General features: G+C 40.4%; 1 protein-coding gene across 36 annotated transcripts in view, besides 3 other annotated features; it reads left to right on the forward strand.

The window, feature by feature from the left end:
- The window catches only part of ARID1B (AT-rich interaction domain 1B), a 434,754-nt gene that overhangs the window by 28,698 nt on the left and 387,055 nt on the right, over nucleotides 1–19,001 (forward strand). The gene's annotated exons all lie outside the window — the stretch shown is intronic.
- Nucleotides 4,558–4,758: a silencer, noted in NCBI's record as "peak6247 fragment used in MPRA reporter construct". NCBI's record gives its function as "represses an SCP1 promoter by STARR-seq MPRAs in K562 erythroleukemia cells {active_cell/tissue: K562}" and the evidence as "EXISTENCE:reporter gene assay evidence [ECO:0000049][PMID:32103011]".
- Nucleotides 15,288–15,915: an enhancer, noted in NCBI's record as "OCT4-NANOG-H3K4me1 hESC enhancer chr6:157141145-157141772 (GRCh37/hg19 assembly coordinates)". NCBI's record gives its function as "activates a minimal SCP1, AML or CMV promoter by ChIP-STARR-seq in naive H9 embryonic stem cells {active_cell/tissue: H9 hESC(naive)}" and the evidence as "EXISTENCE:reporter gene assay evidence [ECO:0000049][PMID:30033119]".
- Nucleotides 17,159–17,228: a silencer, noted in NCBI's record as "silent region_17716". NCBI's record gives its function as "represses an Ori minimal core promoter by ATAC-STARR-seq in GM12878 lymphoblastoid cells {active_cell/tissue: GM12878}" and the evidence as "EXISTENCE:reporter gene assay evidence [ECO:0000049][PMID:35858748]".

Consider the following 19,001-nt stretch of genomic DNA (forward strand, 5'->3'; position numbering starts at 1 on the left):
TTATGGGAACTATAATTCCAGATAAGATTTGAGTGGGGACAAGCCTAATCATATCAACGTATCATGAAAAGATTACATTTTATTCCAGGGGTCATAGAAACCATTGAAGAATTTTACTACTAAGAGAGATGTGATCTGATTGGCAAAAAAAAAAAAAAAAAAAAAAGAAATTGGCCCTTTTTGTGTCTTAATGTTCCTATTTCACCCACCCTTAAAATATAAAATTTAAAGATTAGGCAGTATTACTAATGGCCAGTACTTATAAAGTGACATGTAAATAGGACAAGAGTTTAACAAATGTAAACATCTCACTAAATTTTAGTACTTCACTTACCAACCCTTGGATGTTTAGCTAATAATTGCTAATTATAACTATGCATTTGTTTGCTTATACTACTCTGGCAGGAACAGGCCTCTCTCAGCTTACTCAGTAGGCCAAGTTAGAGATTCTGGGTTGGGCCCTAGTTTTTCAGGGATGTAGTATTGGCTCATTGGATTTAAATCTTAGGGAAAATCTGGTGGAGACACTTTGCCTCCACCTGCAGCCTGCTGTGCTGGATGTGTAGTGAGGGAATGAGACAGGATAGGCCCGAGAGTAAAGTGGTCTGTTTGAATCCCCAGTTCTGCCACTCATTTTTTGTAAAATGGGAATAATGATAATATCTAAGTTCTGGGGTTATTTTGAGGATTAAATGAGGTCGCATGTTTAAAGCATATAGGATGTTGTCCGAGTGTCAGCTTTTATTGTTACCATTACTATTCTTGAGGAAACCTAGCAGGTTTACACTTCACCAAGGAAGGGCAGCTATTGGTTTGCCTATAGGAGTATGCTCTCTCTGCTCTCAGAGGGCCTACAAGAAAATTTTTTTTCTATCCAAATGTCACCTTTGCTTTTATTTTCTTTCCTTTCCATACACGGAAGAAAAAATAGGAAAAAGAATTACATATACTTTGCAACTTTTTAATTATTTATTTAATTTTATTTTTTTTTAGAGACAGTGGAGTGCAGTGGCACCATTGTAACTCACTGCAGCGTGTAACTCCTGGGCTTAGGTGATCCTCCCATCTCAGCCTCCTAAGTAGCTGGAATCACAGATGCGCACTGCCACAACCAGCTAATTTTTAAATTTTTTTGTGGAGATGGAGTCTCGCTGTGTTGCCTAAACTGGTCTCAGAGTCCTGGCCTCAAGTGATCCTCCTGCCTTGGCCTCCTGATGTGTTGGGATTACAGGTGTGAGCCACTGTGCCCAGCCACATTTTTCAGCTTTGAAACCCTGTAATGTGAGTTCCCCCTCACTCCAGTTAGAAAGCTCATTTCTAATTTCCGTATTGGCCACTTTTTCTGTGTCACATTCACTAAATTAGGTTTAATGGTGGGTCCCAAAATCATAACCATAAACCTTGTTGAGGTTCTGTTTTCTTGTCCATAAAATGGGGATTAAGTGAATTGCTGGAAGGGTGCGTTGCCCAGGTCCTCAATAAGTGATAAACTCACGTTCAGCACATTCAACAAACTTTTAAAGGTTTTTAAATAAAAAAAGCAAAGGCTTATGGTCTTTGGAAGGTTCTTTTAGTTTCTCAAGTTGGGACCCCATGCCTTACCGTGCCACTGAGTTGAAGAACAGGTTCTACCTCTGGCTTTCAGAACCTCCTTAGAGCTGGTTTGGAGGTGTTCCTGCTCTCTACGTGTCCTTTCTTCTAAAAACACATTTCACAAAAATACATTTCACAGACTTTACTGTATCATATTTTCAACCAGAGTTTAAATGGGGATTGTTTGGTTTTGCTTAATAATACTACTTTACAGATGATTTAATAATTTCCAAAGTGCTTTTCTTATCTAGTCCTCACAGTAATCTTGCGAGGTTTGGTTAATATCCCTGTTTCGTGTGTGCTGAAGCAGAAGCACAGTGACTTGGCTAAGGACACGACTTTATTTCAAACCAGGTTTTGTGACCCAAATCTGAGCTTTTGCACCTCACACTGTTGCTGTGGTGTGTTACAGTGATTCTTTAGCTTAGAGACACGTTTGGATCAGGGGGTCAGCAAACTTTTCCTACGAAGGGCCACATAGTAAATAATTCAGGTTTTCTGGGCCAGATGATGTTTGTTTCAACTACTCAGCTCCGCTGAGGCAGTGCTGAAGTGTCCATAGACAATCCGTAAATGAACGTGGGAGGAGGCTGCGTGCCAGAAAAGCTATGGATGCTGAAATTGAATTTCATGTAATTTTACATGTCTTAAAATATTCTTTTGATTTCTTTCCCCCAACCATTTAAAAATGTAAAACATATTCTTAGCTTATGGGTCCTACAAAAACCAAGCGGTGGACCAGATTTGTCTGGAGGACCGCAGCTTGCCAACCCCTGGACAGCGTGCGTTTTTCCATTTCCAGTTCCGTCCAAGTATTGTGCACCCCCCCACGCCCCACCCAGTGAAGCATCTTTGTTTGCACAACTCTTTATTCTCTAGCATCTCAGCTAACAGGAAGCTGGGAGAAAGTTCAGATCTATGGAGTGGAAGAGCCCAGGGTGAAGGGAGCCAGCGGATCACGTGGTGTCGGAAACGCCTTAAGCAAGAAGCTTGCATGTCAGAAACCAAGCTCAGGGTTCTCTGTTGTGTTTTGGTTTTTACTGCCCGCCATCTAGTTGAGTTTCTTCATGTTCTAGGAGCTCTGTCAGTTCTTTAATTTCCCCCCACTAGAGTTTTGAGGTTTTTTCTTAAGGTTTTTTTTTTTTTGAAAAAGAGAGTTACAGACATGTAGTGCATTAGTATAGTTTGATTATTAAAAGATTCAAACGCTGGCAAAAACGTGTATGTTGAATATTTAAACTCTCATTTACTGCTTCCCCTTCCCAGAAGTATATGCTCTTAAGTTAAATGTGTCTTTTAGTTGATTTTAAAATACTGCATGTGAACATAGACAATTATATAAATATAAACATCTGTATATAAGATGATATTGTACGTGTTCTCTGACCTTTTCCTTACAGAAAGTTCCTTGGATCACACCACAGTGGTTCGACTTTTTGCTTTGGGTAATTTGTTGTGTGAGCAAGAGAGGTTCTCAGTTGTCTAAGCAGTCACTGAACAGTGAAAAAACACAATATCATTTTTTTTGCTGTGGACTGTGGAATCATTTTAGAATGTCACCCTCTTTTGAGGCAGTTGGCAGGATTTGCCCGGAAGGATCAGGATAGGGTCTTTGGGTCTGAGTCCTGCGTGACTTCCTTTTCTGACAGCCTCAGATGCAGTCCTAGACTCCCGTGTCATTGAGCGCTGTCCATAACATCTTACCATGAGTGTGCTATAAAAATACAACCTCTTCATTGTTAAGCCGTGTTACTGTTGAGGCTTTAACCCTATTGTATCCCAAAGCAGAAGCAGAGGTAGATATTTCAAAGTAATTGGATTTAGTAATTGAAATTTCAAAAGTAATTGAGAGATGAGAGCGTTTCCTATTTGGAAGACATCAGCTGGATTTTATTTTATTTTTCCCGAAGTTATTTGCATTCTGTCTTGTTAGCTTTAGAAATAAGAACAGGGAAAACAGAAAGGAGAACATGTAGTGGTATAATGTAGATCTTAAAATACTTCAGAGTTCTCATTCTTTTTTTGGTATGGTACTCAATAGGTATTCTAGTCAAATGTAGGCTATGACTTTGTAAATAATCTCTCTTGAAAAAAGGGAGCCTTCATTGTGTTCTTGGCAGCCTATCACGTGGTGCTCTTGTGAGTGTGGGCTCCAGCCTACATTGACCGTGAACCAGAGCAGCCCTGTTACTAAAGTCAATGCTTGTAATTCTCTTACAGTCCTCATACCACAGATTTCCTTGCAATCATACTTTTTTCTTTCATTCTCTTTTTTACCTGTTTTGTTTTCAGTCTCAGCTAAAATTGAATATATATAAGTGTACTAACTCTCTATAAAGAAGTCTTTTTCTAATCTACATGCCACTATGAAAATTGAAAATAAAAACATTATCTGTATTGTTTAATAAGGATTTATTCATTAGTTGTGCACATTCTTTATTTGTTCATTTGGTTTTAAAATATCAATGCTCTTATTTTTACTTGATGAAAGGAGAGAAACTTCTTTTAACGAATGTTTTTAGAGGCACTAAAATCCTTGATTAAAAACAGTGTTAAGGATTTGTATTTCATTGTGCTTTGGGAGAAATGTCTTAAGATTTGTACACACGAGTTTGTTTTATCTGTGTGACTCTAATTAAAGTTAATCAAAGTCACATGGCTTAGCAAATCACTGAAGTTTCTTTTTGGAGGTTTTTATTCATTTTAGTAATTTGATTTGTTGATTTGCTATTAATCTTTTAAAAGTAAAACATCAATAACCTAATTTTATAAAGTATCAGGTGTCTTTTTTTTGGCCTACTTTACGTTACTTACTCTGTACTTTCAAGCAGGCACATAAAGGCTCAGTCTGTTTCAGCTCTGTGCACTGCTGAGCAGTGTCTTACCATGACTGACCTCCTGATTAAGAGGAAGTTAGCACGTGAGAGCCACATTGAGTCTGCTGGCCTTAGCTTCATGTGCTATGTGAGAGATGTGGTCATTTTGTACACAGGATGTTATAATGGGATATTGACATTTTACGGATCCAGCATCCTGTGTATAAATTAAGCTTTCTTTTTAAGAAGACATTTTACAGTTGTAAAATTCTCGCCTATTTGAATTTTGAGATCTTGATGAAACATAATCCCTGGAGTGCTCTTCCACTGTTGCAGTGTAATCTTTCCATATGATATCTGATTTAGTTGGAAGCAACTTAGTAATTATGCATGCTTAAAGGAAGCAACTTAATAAACAGGATTTTAGAGAAACCCAGTCAGAATTGTAAAATGGTACTGCTGAATCAATTGCATTACATAGAATTACTGGGTTAGATGTAGGTTTGAGATAAGTGGGCAGACCTGAGGCTCCTGTACCACCACCATTGTCAAGAGCATGTGAAGATTTGCCTTTTTCAAAGAAAAAAAAAAAAAAAAAAAAAGGACTCCCTTTCCCTTGGTTCGTTCAAAAATGATTCAAAAGTAGCCTTCTCAAGTCTGGTGGCTGAGGGCCACCAGAAAGTGGAGCGGGCCTTGGTTCTGACATGGGCTTAGCATGGTAGGCTAGGTAAAGTCAGCTCTGTGGAGGTGGGCACAGTTTGTCATGTGGTCAGGTGGCATGCAGAGGACAAAAAGATGCAGCTCTGAACTTGAGGATTTAAGCAATCATCTGGGAAATCAGCACAGCATGTGGCTGAGGAATCAGATTCAGGAGGGAGGTGAAGACTGTCAGGTGCAGCAGGCCCCATGTGTGACCTCTGCTGCTTTACATGTGAAATATAGGAAGGGGAAAAATAACTATTGAAAATCATTTCTGTTCCTTGTCAGCTTATACACATGTACTATTAAATAGTCACAGTTTAAACTACTTATTTTCAGTTCACTATTTTGTACACATTGTCCTATATTGGTATTATTGCTAGCATTTCTGCAATTTTTTGAGTTAGAATTTAGGGTGACCTCTCAAGAATATTTTGTCATACTGATTCCATCTACAGATATACGTTGTGGTAGGTTCTGGTTATAAAAGTGTAAATGGTAACAGCTGCCATTTACCAAAGATCCACCTGCCAGCCTGCCTGCTTTATAGATGAGGGGATTGAGGCCTGGGAGGTTGAGGAACTTGCCTCAGCTCCTGGAGCTGCGTTGGATTCCTGCTCTCATTCTGTCTTCCTTGTAAAGCGAGAGGGGTGTTCTCCTTTGGTTTGTAAACTCTCTTGCTATTTCACAGCCTCTGGTGTCCAGAAGACACATAAACAGACAATGGCAACCAAACCTTCTAAATTTTAGAACACAGGTTTCCTCAGGGGTCTCTGATCTCTTGATCATTTTCATTTTGCCTGGTGGTTTCAAGACAAACTTGATATAGAAGGTGATCCTTGAGTCAAGGCCTGAAAGATGAGGAATCAGCCCCCAATAACTTCTGGAATCGTGTGTCTTCAGGCTTCTGGAGAATGTGAGAGCACCAACACCAATATTTTGCACAGCAGCAGGTCTTATGTGGGAGGGGCAAGAGTGAGGAAGAGCTATATGAAATGTGTATTATTTGTATTAGCTTGTGGATTAGTTTGCTGTTGCTGCATAACACATTGAGTGGCTTAAAAGAACACACATCGATTATGTCAGTTTCTGGAGGTTAGGAGTCCAGGCATGGCTTAGCTGCCATACTCTGCTTGGGGTCGTAGAGGCTGTAATCCAGGTGTCAGCCGGGCTGCATTCTCATCTAGAGGCTTGACTGGGGAAGGCCGCCTCAGACTGTTGGCAGAATTTATTTCCTGGTGGCTGTAGAATTCATATCTGCCTGCTTCTTCAATGCCACCAGCAGAGAGAGAATCTGTAACTTCTGGGAAGGCCTGGACCCTCTTTTAAAGGGCTCACCAGATTATGTCAAGCCCATCCAGGCCACTGTTTTAACTTAATGTCATGTGATTAAGGAGGGGCTTTAATTATATCGGCAAAGTCTCTTCCTTTGCTATATTTTCTTAGTTAGATGCCAGTCACAGGTCTTACCCGTACTCAAGAGGAGAGGATTACACAGAAGTGTGGATACGAGGGGCATAAATCCCATGGATTTATTTTAGAATTCTGCCAACTACAGGTTGTGTGTTATAATTCATAAAAATAGCAGTGGTTTCTGTTGGTCTGTTTATGCTGCCATGACAAAATGCCAGACAGAATTTCTCCCTCTCAGTTCTGGAGGCTGGCAGTCCGAGATCAAGGTGCTGGCAAGGTAGTTTTCATTCTGAGGCCTCTTCCCTGGGCTTTTAGGTAGCTGCCACCTCTCTGTGTGCCCACATGGTCTTTCTGAGCATGTGCAGGGGGAGAGAGAGGATGCAAGAGCCTGTGCATGCCTGTACCAGAAGCCTGGTCTCTCTTCTTATAAGGACAGCAGTCCTGTCAGATTAGAACCCATGCTCATGGCCTCTTTTAACCTTCATTACCTCTTCATAGACGCTAGTCCCAAATACAATCACATTGGACATTAGGGTTTTGATGTAGGAATTTTGGTGGGGGACACAATTCATTCTGTAGCAGGCTAAGAAAGTCTTCTAGTTACATTCTGCTTATCTCAAGGGATATCAGTTGGGGTATATATATAGATGCCTTCCCCAAAAAGCATCATGACCCTTATATTATAATATGACCTTGGGCAAATTACCTACTCTAGGAGATGATTTCCTTCAACTAAAATAGTGGTTGGCAACATTAACTACTTTGCAGGATTTTTGTTCGCATTGGTTGTGCTGTGTGTAAATCACCTATAGTGTGCCGAGGGCACAGGAGGTGCTCATTAAATGTTGTCTGTTGTTGCTGTATTTGTGCCTTGATATTTCTGCATCTCTCTCTCTCTCTTATTTGAAACAGGGTCTTCCTTTGTCGCTCAGGCTGGTGTGTGGTGGCATGATCACAGCTCATTGCAGCCTCAACCTCCCAGGCTCAAGTGATCCTCTGTCCTCAGCCTCATGAGTAGCTGGGACTACAGGCATGTGCCACCACACCTGGCTAATTTTTGTATTTTTTGGTTTTGCTATGTTGCCCAGGCTGATTTCTTTTTTTAATTATTATCTACCTTAAATGAAGAATTCCCCATGAATCCTTCCATTTCTTCAAGAAAGAAGTGGTTACTCTCCCCTGAACTCATAGGACAGTGGCATTTATAAGCCTCTGTCCTATAGTATTTATAAGCTTATTTTTGCAGTGTATTATTTGTATACATCTTTTGTTTCTTCTGTTTCTTAAAGTCAAGGACCTTCTTATACCTCTGCTTATCTTTTTCATAGTGCCTTGTACATTAATATTTTTTCAGTTTAAACAATGTTGAATGAACAAATAAATGAATGGGCATGGCCTCTGAGGTAATGTGTTTCCTCTTTCATCTAAATCTTTGTTTCTCAATCCTTTCTAACTCATGCCTTCTTTTGAAAATGTAAGTTTCCTTACACCCCTTCCACCTTTCAGTATCTCCTCCCAAAAGACCAGGCCCGCAGCCCCCATCTCCCTTGATGGGACAAGCTCGACTTTTCCTACAGATCCTCAACAGTTGAGATTATTTTATCAAGCTCCACTTTCATGTGGTATGTTATAAAAAAAAAAAAAAAAGCTTTCCTCCTTTCTTTTCCAAATAGAAAATTATAATCCTGGGTGTGTGTGTGTGTGTGTGTGTGTGTGTGTGTGTGTGTGTGTGTATGTATATACATACGTATGTATATACATATATATACACATACGTATGTATATACATATATATATACACATACGTATGTATATACATATATATATACACACATACGTATGTATATACATACATATATATATATTTTTTTTTTTTTTGAGACGGAGTCTCGCACTGTTGCCAGGCTGGAGTGCAGTGACACCATCTTGGCTCACTGCAACCTCTGCCACCCAGGTTGAAGCAATTCTCCTGACTCAGCCTCCCGAGTAGCTACAACTGTAGGCGCATGCTGCCACGCCCTGCTAATTTTTTTTTTTTTTTTGTATTTTAGTAGAGATGGGGCTTCACCATGTTGCCCAGGCTGGTCTCGAACTCCTGAGCTAGGCAATCTGCCTGCCTTGGCCTCCCAAAGTGCTAGGATTACAGGCGCGAGCCATTGCGCTCAGGCTATCCTGGGTGTGTATTTTAACCGGACCCTCCTTGTAACCCTCGTTCTTATTTATGTAGCATTCATTCATTTTCACCCTTGAGAATTACTGCTCTAAACAATTTCTGATATACTGTAGAATCCTGTTACAGGAAGTAGTGAAGTTAGAATTAAGTGTTCAGGTGCGGTGTTGTGTCTCCACTACCTTTGCACATGTGTAAGAGAATATTCTGTCTTCCCTTTATATGATTCTTTTTAAATGACAGGGTTAAACTGATATGCATTTGAATTTGTCGAACCCTGTTCTCCAAAATGATTCCAGTTTGTGTCACTTAAGGAGTGACCCTAGACATATATTAGGCTTTCATAAGACCTTTCTCTCCAGAGCTTACAGCGCTTTGCAGACATTACCTTATCAATACTTAGGGCATCCTTGTGAGCCAAGCAAGAACTGGGAGCTGTTGCTGTTTTTTTTGCAGTGGAATAGCACGAGAAGTTCAGGAGGGGCCTGCCCTCCAGACCCCATCTCAAGGATGTGTGCGCTGGTCAGACCCTGCCTTCATGCTCCCGCGCTGTGGATTCTTCACGGTAGCCTGCACCACGAGAGTGGGTACAGTGTGCCAGCAAACAAAATGCCTTTGGTCACAAGATAATAGAGTAAATTTACAAGGTGATGTTTATTTTTAAAGGAATACGTAAGAATCAAAATTCCATGTACTGAAAGGAATGTAAAATATTAATACATCTGGAGTGGTGGCTCACGTCTGTAATTCCAGCACTTTGGGAGGCTGAGGTAGGAGGATCACTTGAGCCCAGTAGTTCCAGACCAACCTGGGCAACATGGCAAGACCCCGTCTCTACAAAAAATACAACAAAACTTAGCTGGGCATGGTGGCACGCGCCTATGGTCCTAGCTACTATGGGGGCTGAGGTGGGAGGATCACTTGAGCCGGGTAAGCCATGATTGCCACCGCACTACAGTCTGGGTGACAGAGTGAGAGGCCCTGTCTCAAAAACAAAAGCACCAATGTAAAGTACATCTGGTCTCCACAGGGGACTTCTTTTAAGTTCAAGGTGTCTTATTTAAAAGAGGCTGTGTTTGGAATTGGATTGCAGCAAATGGGGGTTGTTTTAAGCCTGCCCGCCTCTATATTCTGGAAGTTATATTATGCCTTTGAAAACAAATTGGCTTGGCGTGGTCAATCCTGCTTTTAGTTAATGTTGAGGATGTGGGAAATGCAACCATGAGCTTGCGGGAGAGATGGGGTCCCAAGATTTAGGGACCTGTGTAGAATTGGGCATCTTTCTGAGAAGGCAGATTGATGGTAAAGAAAAGTAGAATCTTTGGCTAGTTTGATGTTTATGTGGGTGCACTTGAAATAGGATGTTGTAGGCAATGCCGTCTCACTTTTGGGAGGATAATACTCAATAACTATTAAAAATCCCCTTTCATCCCTTGTTCTGTACTCCTCATTTTTTTTTTAATACAACAAATGCTTTTTAGCCTAATCTCCGTTAATTGTGATGACAGGTTTTTAGGTGAAGACCCATCAATTATCAATAGACTATTAAATATTAAATAGTGAGCAAGAAATTCAATATAAAAGTGTGTATGTAACAATAATATTCAAATATTGTTGAAAGACTGCGTGCTTACGTGTTTTGAGTATACCTAAAGTGGATATACTTTGTGTCTCCATTGTAAATTCCTAAAATTTCTGGTCATGGCTTTTTTATTAGAAAGTCTAAGAAAAGAAGAGTATGGGAAATTGAAATGGCTGGCAGTAGACAAGTAGCATGCCACTGTAAGATAGTGCTCTTTTTATCTTGATATAGACATATCCAGACATGTGTATATTTTGTAACGTAGGGTAAAATTTTCTACTGTTGAGTTTGTCCATATACATTCTAGTTATTATTTTAAGATAGTAAAGATCCTTCGTGCGCTGATGCTAGATTGGTATATTAATTCACTTAGCAGAAGGGTATTGATATTGAGTGTAATTAGCATGAAACACTTTGAACTTTTTTAGGCTGAAAAGGATAATGTAACTTCTTTAGTTTTCCTCCTTTCTCCCTTTCTCCCCACACCCATTTTTAAAATAACAGTGCTTTTCATACTGTCAGAATTTCATGTTGTGACACCCTACTCAGAAGTTATGACAGCAGGGTAATGACAGCAACTGCCTCCTGAAAATCAATCAGGCAATTAATTTTGTAAATGAAATGCTGATTATACAAAGCTTCACATGAGAGGCCCAGTGATTAAAATCAATTTAACAAATTGTTTCAGGTGGGACTTGATTAATAATTTGCCATAAATGCTAAGGATATATGACCAGCATACCTTGTTGTTGCTGTTACTATCCAGCTATATATAAAAATCGACAGGTAAGCTCTATCTATCTTTATATTAGTGACACTTTGCTTGTTTGTTTACCTAAGTAGGCCTGGGTAACAGTGAAAATGGAATGCATTTTTACATTTTTATGTCATCCTGGTTCATGTTTTCCTGTGTTCTGCTTTAAAAAACATTGCCCAGGCAGGTTTGAGTTCAACCAAGTTAAGTAAGTTTTTTCTATATAGGACATTTTAGACTTTTCTCATGTTAATATATGTTATGAATCTTGAAGAATGGTGTGCGCTTTATACACATTTACCATTCTTAATTACAATAACATCTATTCATATACTTTGGGAAATACTGTTTTTAGAATACTAGAAATAGTGACATTATAGTATGGAAATTAAAAAATGCCTATGTTTGGAGCATTATAGTTTGAATTCAGAAGTCACTTGGAATAGGAGATGGATGTCTTTCCAGCAGTCACATACCAAACATTTATTAAATGCCTGTTATAAGTCAGACAGCATATCGATTTTCATAATTTTATTACTTATACTTGACACAGCTAGGAAGACAGTACAATATTGTTTAGAAAAGGATGGCTTGGAGAGAGGTAAGGGTTAAAAGATGCACTTGGGTTTCTTTAATTTTGTTTTTTTATTAAAGAAATAATAGCAATAATGGTTGTCCATTGGGTGTCAGAAGTTGGGGCTATAAGGAAAATTAGGGTGAGGAAAAAACATATCTGGCCTTAAAGAACTTACTGTCTGATAAAGGAGGCAGAGATAAACAATGAGTTGCAGTTGATGGTGATAAATTGAGTATCTGTTAAATAAGAGAGCTGTGGGGAACGGTGGAGCCTTGTGAAGGCAGGCTGCTGGACTCACTGGTATTTCCCCAGGCTGGAAGTGCGTCTTCCGTTTACAGGGCAGCCACAGCTGTGCTGGGTACAGAGTGTTCTAGAAATGGGTTTGGAGTTGTGTGCTCAGGCATCGGCTTGGTGGTGCATAAGAGGGCTGTCCAGGTACAGGGCGGGCTGAGGCCTGATAGGTCGCTGGGCCTGTCACCTTGAGGCTAACCTTGTTTGTTTGAATTTGTCCTTCTGGAGTTTGGATTTTTCGGACCCCTTTATGTCCTCTTTCTTACTTTTGATCTTCAAGGAAGTTTATTGATAAGATTTCTGATCAAAGAATGGGGCAGAAAGGAGAAGTGTCTCTAACAGTCCACATTCTTTTTGATACCACAGCATAATCAGAAGGTCTGGCAGGGAGGGAGAAGGGAAGATTCTAGAATTATCGCACGTTAGAACAATAAGGAACTTCATCCCATTTGCCCTTTAATTAAAAAAAAAAAAGAAAAAAAAAGGCCGGGCATGGTGCCTTACACCTGTAATTCCAGCACTTTGGGAGGCTGAGGTGGGTGGATCACCTGAGGTCAAGAGTTCAGACCAGCCTGGGCAAAACCCTGTCTCTACTAAAAATACAAAAAAAAATTAGCCAGGCGTGGTGGGCAGGAGAATCACTTGAATCCGGGAGGTGGAGATTGCAGTGATCTGAGATTGCATCACTGCACTCCAGCCTGGGCAACAGAGTGAGAGAATCCGTATCAAAAAAGCAGCCTGATGTTGTGACTCACACCCATAATCCCAGCACTTTGGGAGGCTGAGGCAGGAGGATCACTTGAGCCCAGGAGTTTGAGACCAGTCTAGGCAACATAGCAAGACCCCATCTCTATAAAAAAAATTAGCCAGGTGTAGTAGCACACGCTTGTGGTCCCAGCTATGTGGGAGGCTGGGGTGGGAGGATGGGTTGAGCCCAGGAGTTTGAGGCTGTGTGAGCTGATTGCACCACTGCACTCCAGCCTGTGTGACAGAGCAGGACCTTGTCTGACTCTTAAAAAAAAAAACCACACACACAAAACTTTTATTTTGAAATAATTTTAAATTTACAGCAAAGTTGCAAGAATAGTGCAGAGAAGTCCCATGTACCTTTTATTCTGATGCATTACATTTTTACATTTTGCTACATTTACTTTATTATTCTGTCTGTTCATCTATCCATCTGTTCATCCATCATTTATTTATAATGCATTTTCTCAGAATCATTTTTGAGAGTAGGTTGTATACATTCCGCTTCTTTACTCCTAGATACTTCAGGGTGTATTTCCTAGGAGCAAGCATATGCTCTTACACACACCTCAGTGCAGTTATCACTGTCAGGAAACTTAGATTTGATTGCATACTTTAACCTACAGTCTACATTCTAATTTTGTCTGTTGTCCTAATAGCATCTATATAGCAATCTTCTCTCCTTCAGTGTAAGATTCTGTCTGGCCTTTATATGTTGAATTTAGTTGCCCTATTTTTTTTTTTTTTTTTTTTTTTTTTAGAATATAAGATTTGACCATATATTAGTCATGTTAACTTGTTTTTCTTTAATGAAGCACATTACAGTAAGAGTCAATATATGCTTACACATAGTTACAGCTCTGACAAATTAGATATCTAATAGGGTCATATCTCTGAAAAGCATTTTAAAACCAGGGGCAAATAGCCTGTGTATCAGCATGGCAAGCACCCTTTGTCCCAAGATAGGTAAGTCAGTTGGTAATTTTCTTATCTTAACTGGCATTTTAATACAATTTTTAAGTTGTTTATTTAAAATATTGATAAAATAGTTGGAAAGAGGCATGGTAGCAACCATAGGGATTGCTGGGGAAATTAGTAACTTCTCTGTCTTTACGTAGTGCTCTGATATGTGTTTGGAATTGTTTATCCTTGCAAATCACACTAAACATCTTTTGAATGGTTGTCTGAGGGAGGTATTATTATTTTTACTTGAGAGGTGGGGAAATTGAGGCTTAGAGCACTTCAATAATTTACTTAACATTTCATGGCTAGTCAGAAGTAGGAGAGAGATGTGAACCCAGGTGTACCTGATGACATACTTTTAGGCTCTTTCCATTTTACTGGAGATGGCAAATTACTTTTTGCTTGTGCAAATTCTGATAGTTGACACAACTGCCCGCAACTCTGCAGGACAAAAGATTCTGAGGCTTACTGGACTTAGAGAAAATAATGCTAGGATTGATTAGCAATGTCTGTCTTCTGCACATTGATGGAGGAGTAGAGGGTTTCCATGCCTCATTGATTATTCTGGAATTATACCTCCATATAATAATGATGATAATAAAATCTATCCTTTTAAAAAAAAAAAAACCTGTTATGTACCAAGAACTTGAATGTATTATCTCCAGTTCTGTAACAGCTCTGAAATGATAGTGGTAGTGTTCTTTGTGTACAGATCCATTAACTGAGGTGCAAGGAAGTTAAGTGGTAGCTTTCTTCAGTATCACAGAGCTACAAGTGGTGGGGTTAAAATTTGACATAGTCTCACAAAAGCTTCTTTCTCAATTTGAATCTGTATTTGTATGGGAAATATACCATATTATTTCTCCTTCTTAAATAAGTGCTTGCTACTAGGCTGTCAGTAGTGACACATGGTTATGAACAATACTGCATACTTAGAGATGTAAATGTTAGAAAATGTTAAAGCCATGATAAAAGCTTTACAATTTTTTTGGGTAGCAAGAGTAACAAATGTGAGGAAAAATGGAAATATATTCTATTACTATTTTGGTATTCCTTTTAGATCTAACTTACTCTCAAAATAAACAATATATATAGCCTTTGGTTTGTTCATAAAATTATTACATTTGCTAAATTAAATTGAAAAGTGTAGCTTAGTCAGACAGTAATTTACTCATTGAATTGACTTACAAGCTGCTGAGCTTTGGGGGATGAAGCTAATAATAGGTTTTGCCAATTTATAAAAATCAGGGAAAAACTAGGGAACCAAAATAGTCTTCCTTTCTGGACTTATTCTGTAGCACCTGGATGATAGCTATAAATGGGTTCAATACTTGTTTTTCTCCTCTTCCGTACTCCTGTTTCTCTGGGACAGTCTAGGCTGGGGGACAGACATTGATCAAGTAGTCACACAGATGAGCCCACTGTTACTCTGAGAGGATCCTGCCCGGGCCTGGAGTTCAGGGAGGGCTCCTCTAAGGACATGACGTTGGAGCTGAGTTCTGCAGGAGGAGAACAGAGCTCATTCTAGGTGAAAGAATGACATATTTGAAATGTGTGGTTTTTCTAGAGCCCTGTGGAGGCCAGCATGGTTGGAGGGGAGATTTCCTGCTGGCAGAGATGGGGGGTCCCACAGATTGACTTGGTAAGGAGCTGGCTGTGGTGGAGAGGAGAGGAAGGGTCAGGATGTGTCCTGGATTCTGACATGAATATCTGGGTGGATGGGGTGTCTTTCTCTGAGGTCAGAGAGAGGCGGAGAGGAGCCTGTGGATGTCTGGGCAGGAATGCTGTGCAGAGTTCTGGGGCTTGGAGGAAGCAGCCAAGGGAAGCAGCATTTGGGAGACAGAAGCTTGGGGAGGTGATGGAAGCCATGGTCTGGGTGAACTTGTGCAAAGTGAAGCTTTGTCTGCAGGGAGGGGAGACTAGAAGGGTCTTTACCTCTTTTATCTAGTGGTCATCAAGAGGCCTACATTCTAGTTAGAGTCCTGCTGTTTAAGTGGCCATGTGGTATTGAGGAAGCTGTTCCTTTCTCATGTCAACAAATGTTAATTATGCCAGGCATTGTACTAAGTGCTAGGTATGCAAAGATGAATAAGACAAAATTTTCACCTTGAAATTAACAGTCTGCTGGGGAGACAGGAAAATATGTAGATTAAATTATTGAGTGGTTTAGCTCTGCCTTCAATTTGCTAATTTGTTAAGAGTAAAATAAAAGAGATTTAGGAAGTTCTTTTTATGTGATAAATCCTGTGGTATCTCATTTAATCCACCAGCAACACTGCGAGGTGAGTGTGACCGTATTCTGTTGAATAGCTTAAGCTTACCTAGCTAATAAGCAGCACAGGCAGGATTCTCACCCAGGTTTGTCTGACTTGAAACCCCCTGCCTGCTCCGTTATAACCTTTTCCCCAAATTATGTTTCTAAACTTTGGATTTATTTTATATATTAGAAAAGATGTAGGAATTTGAAGTGGTCAAGAGGTGGTCACCTAAAGGCAAATATGGTATTGTACTTGCATAGCAAGAGTAGTGAAGGAATGGGAGGTTTCCTGGGAACCAGTGGAAAGGTTTCTGTACGGATCTGCTTCCAGAACGCTGATGCTTGGATTTAAATACCAGTCTTTATGAATAGATTTGGTAGTGAGTCCAAGGCTCTGTCTCCCCTCGCACCTCTTCAGTGTTTTCATTGATGAAGACTTGGGTGAAATAGTATGCTGATTTCATTGATGGTTGATGTCAAGCTAGAAAATGCAGTTACTGTAATATGTCAGATCCAAATCAAGATTTGAAAAACAACCTCATCCTGGTAGAATGGTGATCAGAAATAAGCGAAATGCAAACAAGCGGAGATAAAGACCAACTTCTTCTACTAGGGTCAACTCCCCAAGTGTCTGATAGGAGATGGGGAGGTGGGGTTTAGTCAGCTGTTGGTGGGGATGGGGCTGCCAAGAGCGCAGAGCTCTTAGACTGTGTTGTCAGCAGTGCAGGTTCTAGAAAAAGGAAGCAAGAACTGCTCCCCCACTCCCCCCACAATACCTTTTGTGTTGAGGGGGCTGAGAATGGGTATATGTCACGCAGAAAAGAGAAATAGCTTACAGCGATCTTCAAATATTCTGCCAAAGGACCAAAGTAATACCAATGGGTATAAATGACAGGGAGCAGACTTTTGTTACATAGGAGGAAGAAATTCATAACATTCATTGTAGATGCTTTGAAAGGATTTGTATGTACATCACTTACGGACCCGTCAGGCTCTCTGCAGTTCTAAGGTTCTGAGTTTCATTGCTGAATCTTTGAATCTTTGGTCAGGCTGTCTTAAGAATTGTGATAACGTGAGAATATATTAAAGTGCTTTGGAAATGCATGGCATATGTTGTTATTATTTGATAATGTAAGTCTGGGATCTTTGGATGGGTTTCTAGATTAGATTCCATGAACTCCTCTGACACTGTATGCTAAATTGAGGGTTCCATGGTTCCACAAATACATATGTTCTCTGCACCTTGCTTAAGAAAACCAAAACCAAGACCAAAAACACAGGCAGTGGTCATCTTTCTCAGTCAGTTAGGAGTGTTTTGAGGTCTCTCCCCCAACATTGCTAATGATGTCATGGTTAGAGGGCACCGATAATTTCATGGTTCTTAGAGTTAGTAACAAAACAACCTTTTCTGCCTTGTCTAATATCTTTTTTTTTTTTCAGTAGAGAAGGGGTTTCACCATGTTGGCCAGGCTGATCTTGAACTCCTGACCTCAAGTGATCTGCCCGCCTCAGCCTCCCAAAGTGCTGAGATTACAGGTGTGAGCTACCATGTGTGGCCAGTCTTGTCTAATATCTTAGAATCCCATTTCTTGATCCTTTCTGTACCATTGGAAAATGTGACAAATATTCCTGTATTGACAAAAGAAGAACTTCTGTGTGTTGATACCCACATTCGAAGTTCCAACGTGTTAGTTCAAGTCTTAATAAGCAGGCAGTGTTTTGTTGTGAGTTGAAGTAAAACACATAGTGGTTTTAAATGCAGGGTTGCATGTTATCCTCCTTCAGTCTGATGATCGTGTATAGACACACCAGACCAGAGATGGGACTGTGGACCCGAGTTGGGAGACTTGACTCTGGTCTGAGCTCTGCTACCGTGAGCCTCCTTTGTGTCATTGGGCATGAGAGAATCTCTTTGGCGATTACATTCTGCAGTAGTGGTGGCAGTGGTAGCTGAGATTCTTGGTTCTTTCTGGCTTAGAGAGGAGTAGGCACTTGTTATGAAACAAGGGAAGAGTCTTTAGTGCCCACTTTTACTTTTGCCGTAAACGGGTTTTTATGCCGTTAGGAGAAGAACCTGACCAGAGTATGCATTCAGTATTATCATTGTCTTTACTTGTGTCTTCTGCAGGTGTGTACAGCAGCTCTGAAGTGTGTCCCACAGTGGCTTCTGGGTGGTGCCACTGGCATGTGGTGGGGAACCTCTGTGGTGAGGTGGAGTGGGCGCCCACTGCCCACTGTTCTGTGTGTGCCGTGACCAGGCGGGTGTGCGAGGGAGGAAGACAGGCTAGACGGCCGTGTTGCATCCACCTCCTGTTCTCCCTTTACAGAGAGCCAGAGTACTGTTTGTAATATGCTCAGGGAAAAACAGAGGCATTTTGAGCTATATTTAGACACCATCACAGAAAAGTAAACACAGATTGCTTCCCGATATGACAGCAACTATCTACAGGCCACTGTGGCTGACCCCGATCCTTATCGAGCTTGTTTCACATGGCTGTGATCTGTGTGCATCAGTATTGAAGAAATGGCACGTTACCTGACATGTCTTCTCTATGCCCGTGTGTAGTCCGCTGTGTTGGTGTGTTACGGCCGGGCCATGGATTCTTTACTTTTGCACAGTTGGGCTGTTCCATTTTTTCTCAATGAGTAGGTGGGCCCTGGGCTCCAGGTGCTGCCATAGCCCCTGTGACCTCTGAGAGCCTTTATAGCGCTGATGAATTTAATGTTCATAATAATTGCAAGGTGGGTTTTATTTCTCCTTTAGTGAATGAGAAAACTAAGAAATAAGGTCACAGTGTACTCGAGGTCCCTGGTGGGACAGGGCTGTGAATCCATTCTGAATCCAGAGCCCCTACTTCCTTGCTGGGCAGTGCCATTCGGTACACAGCTGCAGACGTGAATAAACACCCCCTGCCCTGTTTGAGCGAGAGAAATAGAACAGATTTCAAAAGTTTTCTTTAGTTACTGGTAAGAGAATGTTGTTTCCCGAACAATGGTTCAAAAGAGGGAAGAGTTTTCTATCAGCTCTTGTTTAATCCACATGTGTAGAAATGATTTTAGATCAACAAGATTCGATAGTTCTTTCGGTGGGTTTTCTTTGTTGTTTTTTTTTTTTTTTTTGTGAAGTGTTTTTCCAATT

This window comes from Homo sapiens, chromosome 6 (assembly GCF_000001405.40).
Source record: "Homo sapiens chromosome 6, GRCh38.p14 Primary Assembly".
Lineage (NCBI taxonomy): Eukaryota > Metazoa > Chordata > Mammalia > Primates > Hominidae > Homo > Homo sapiens.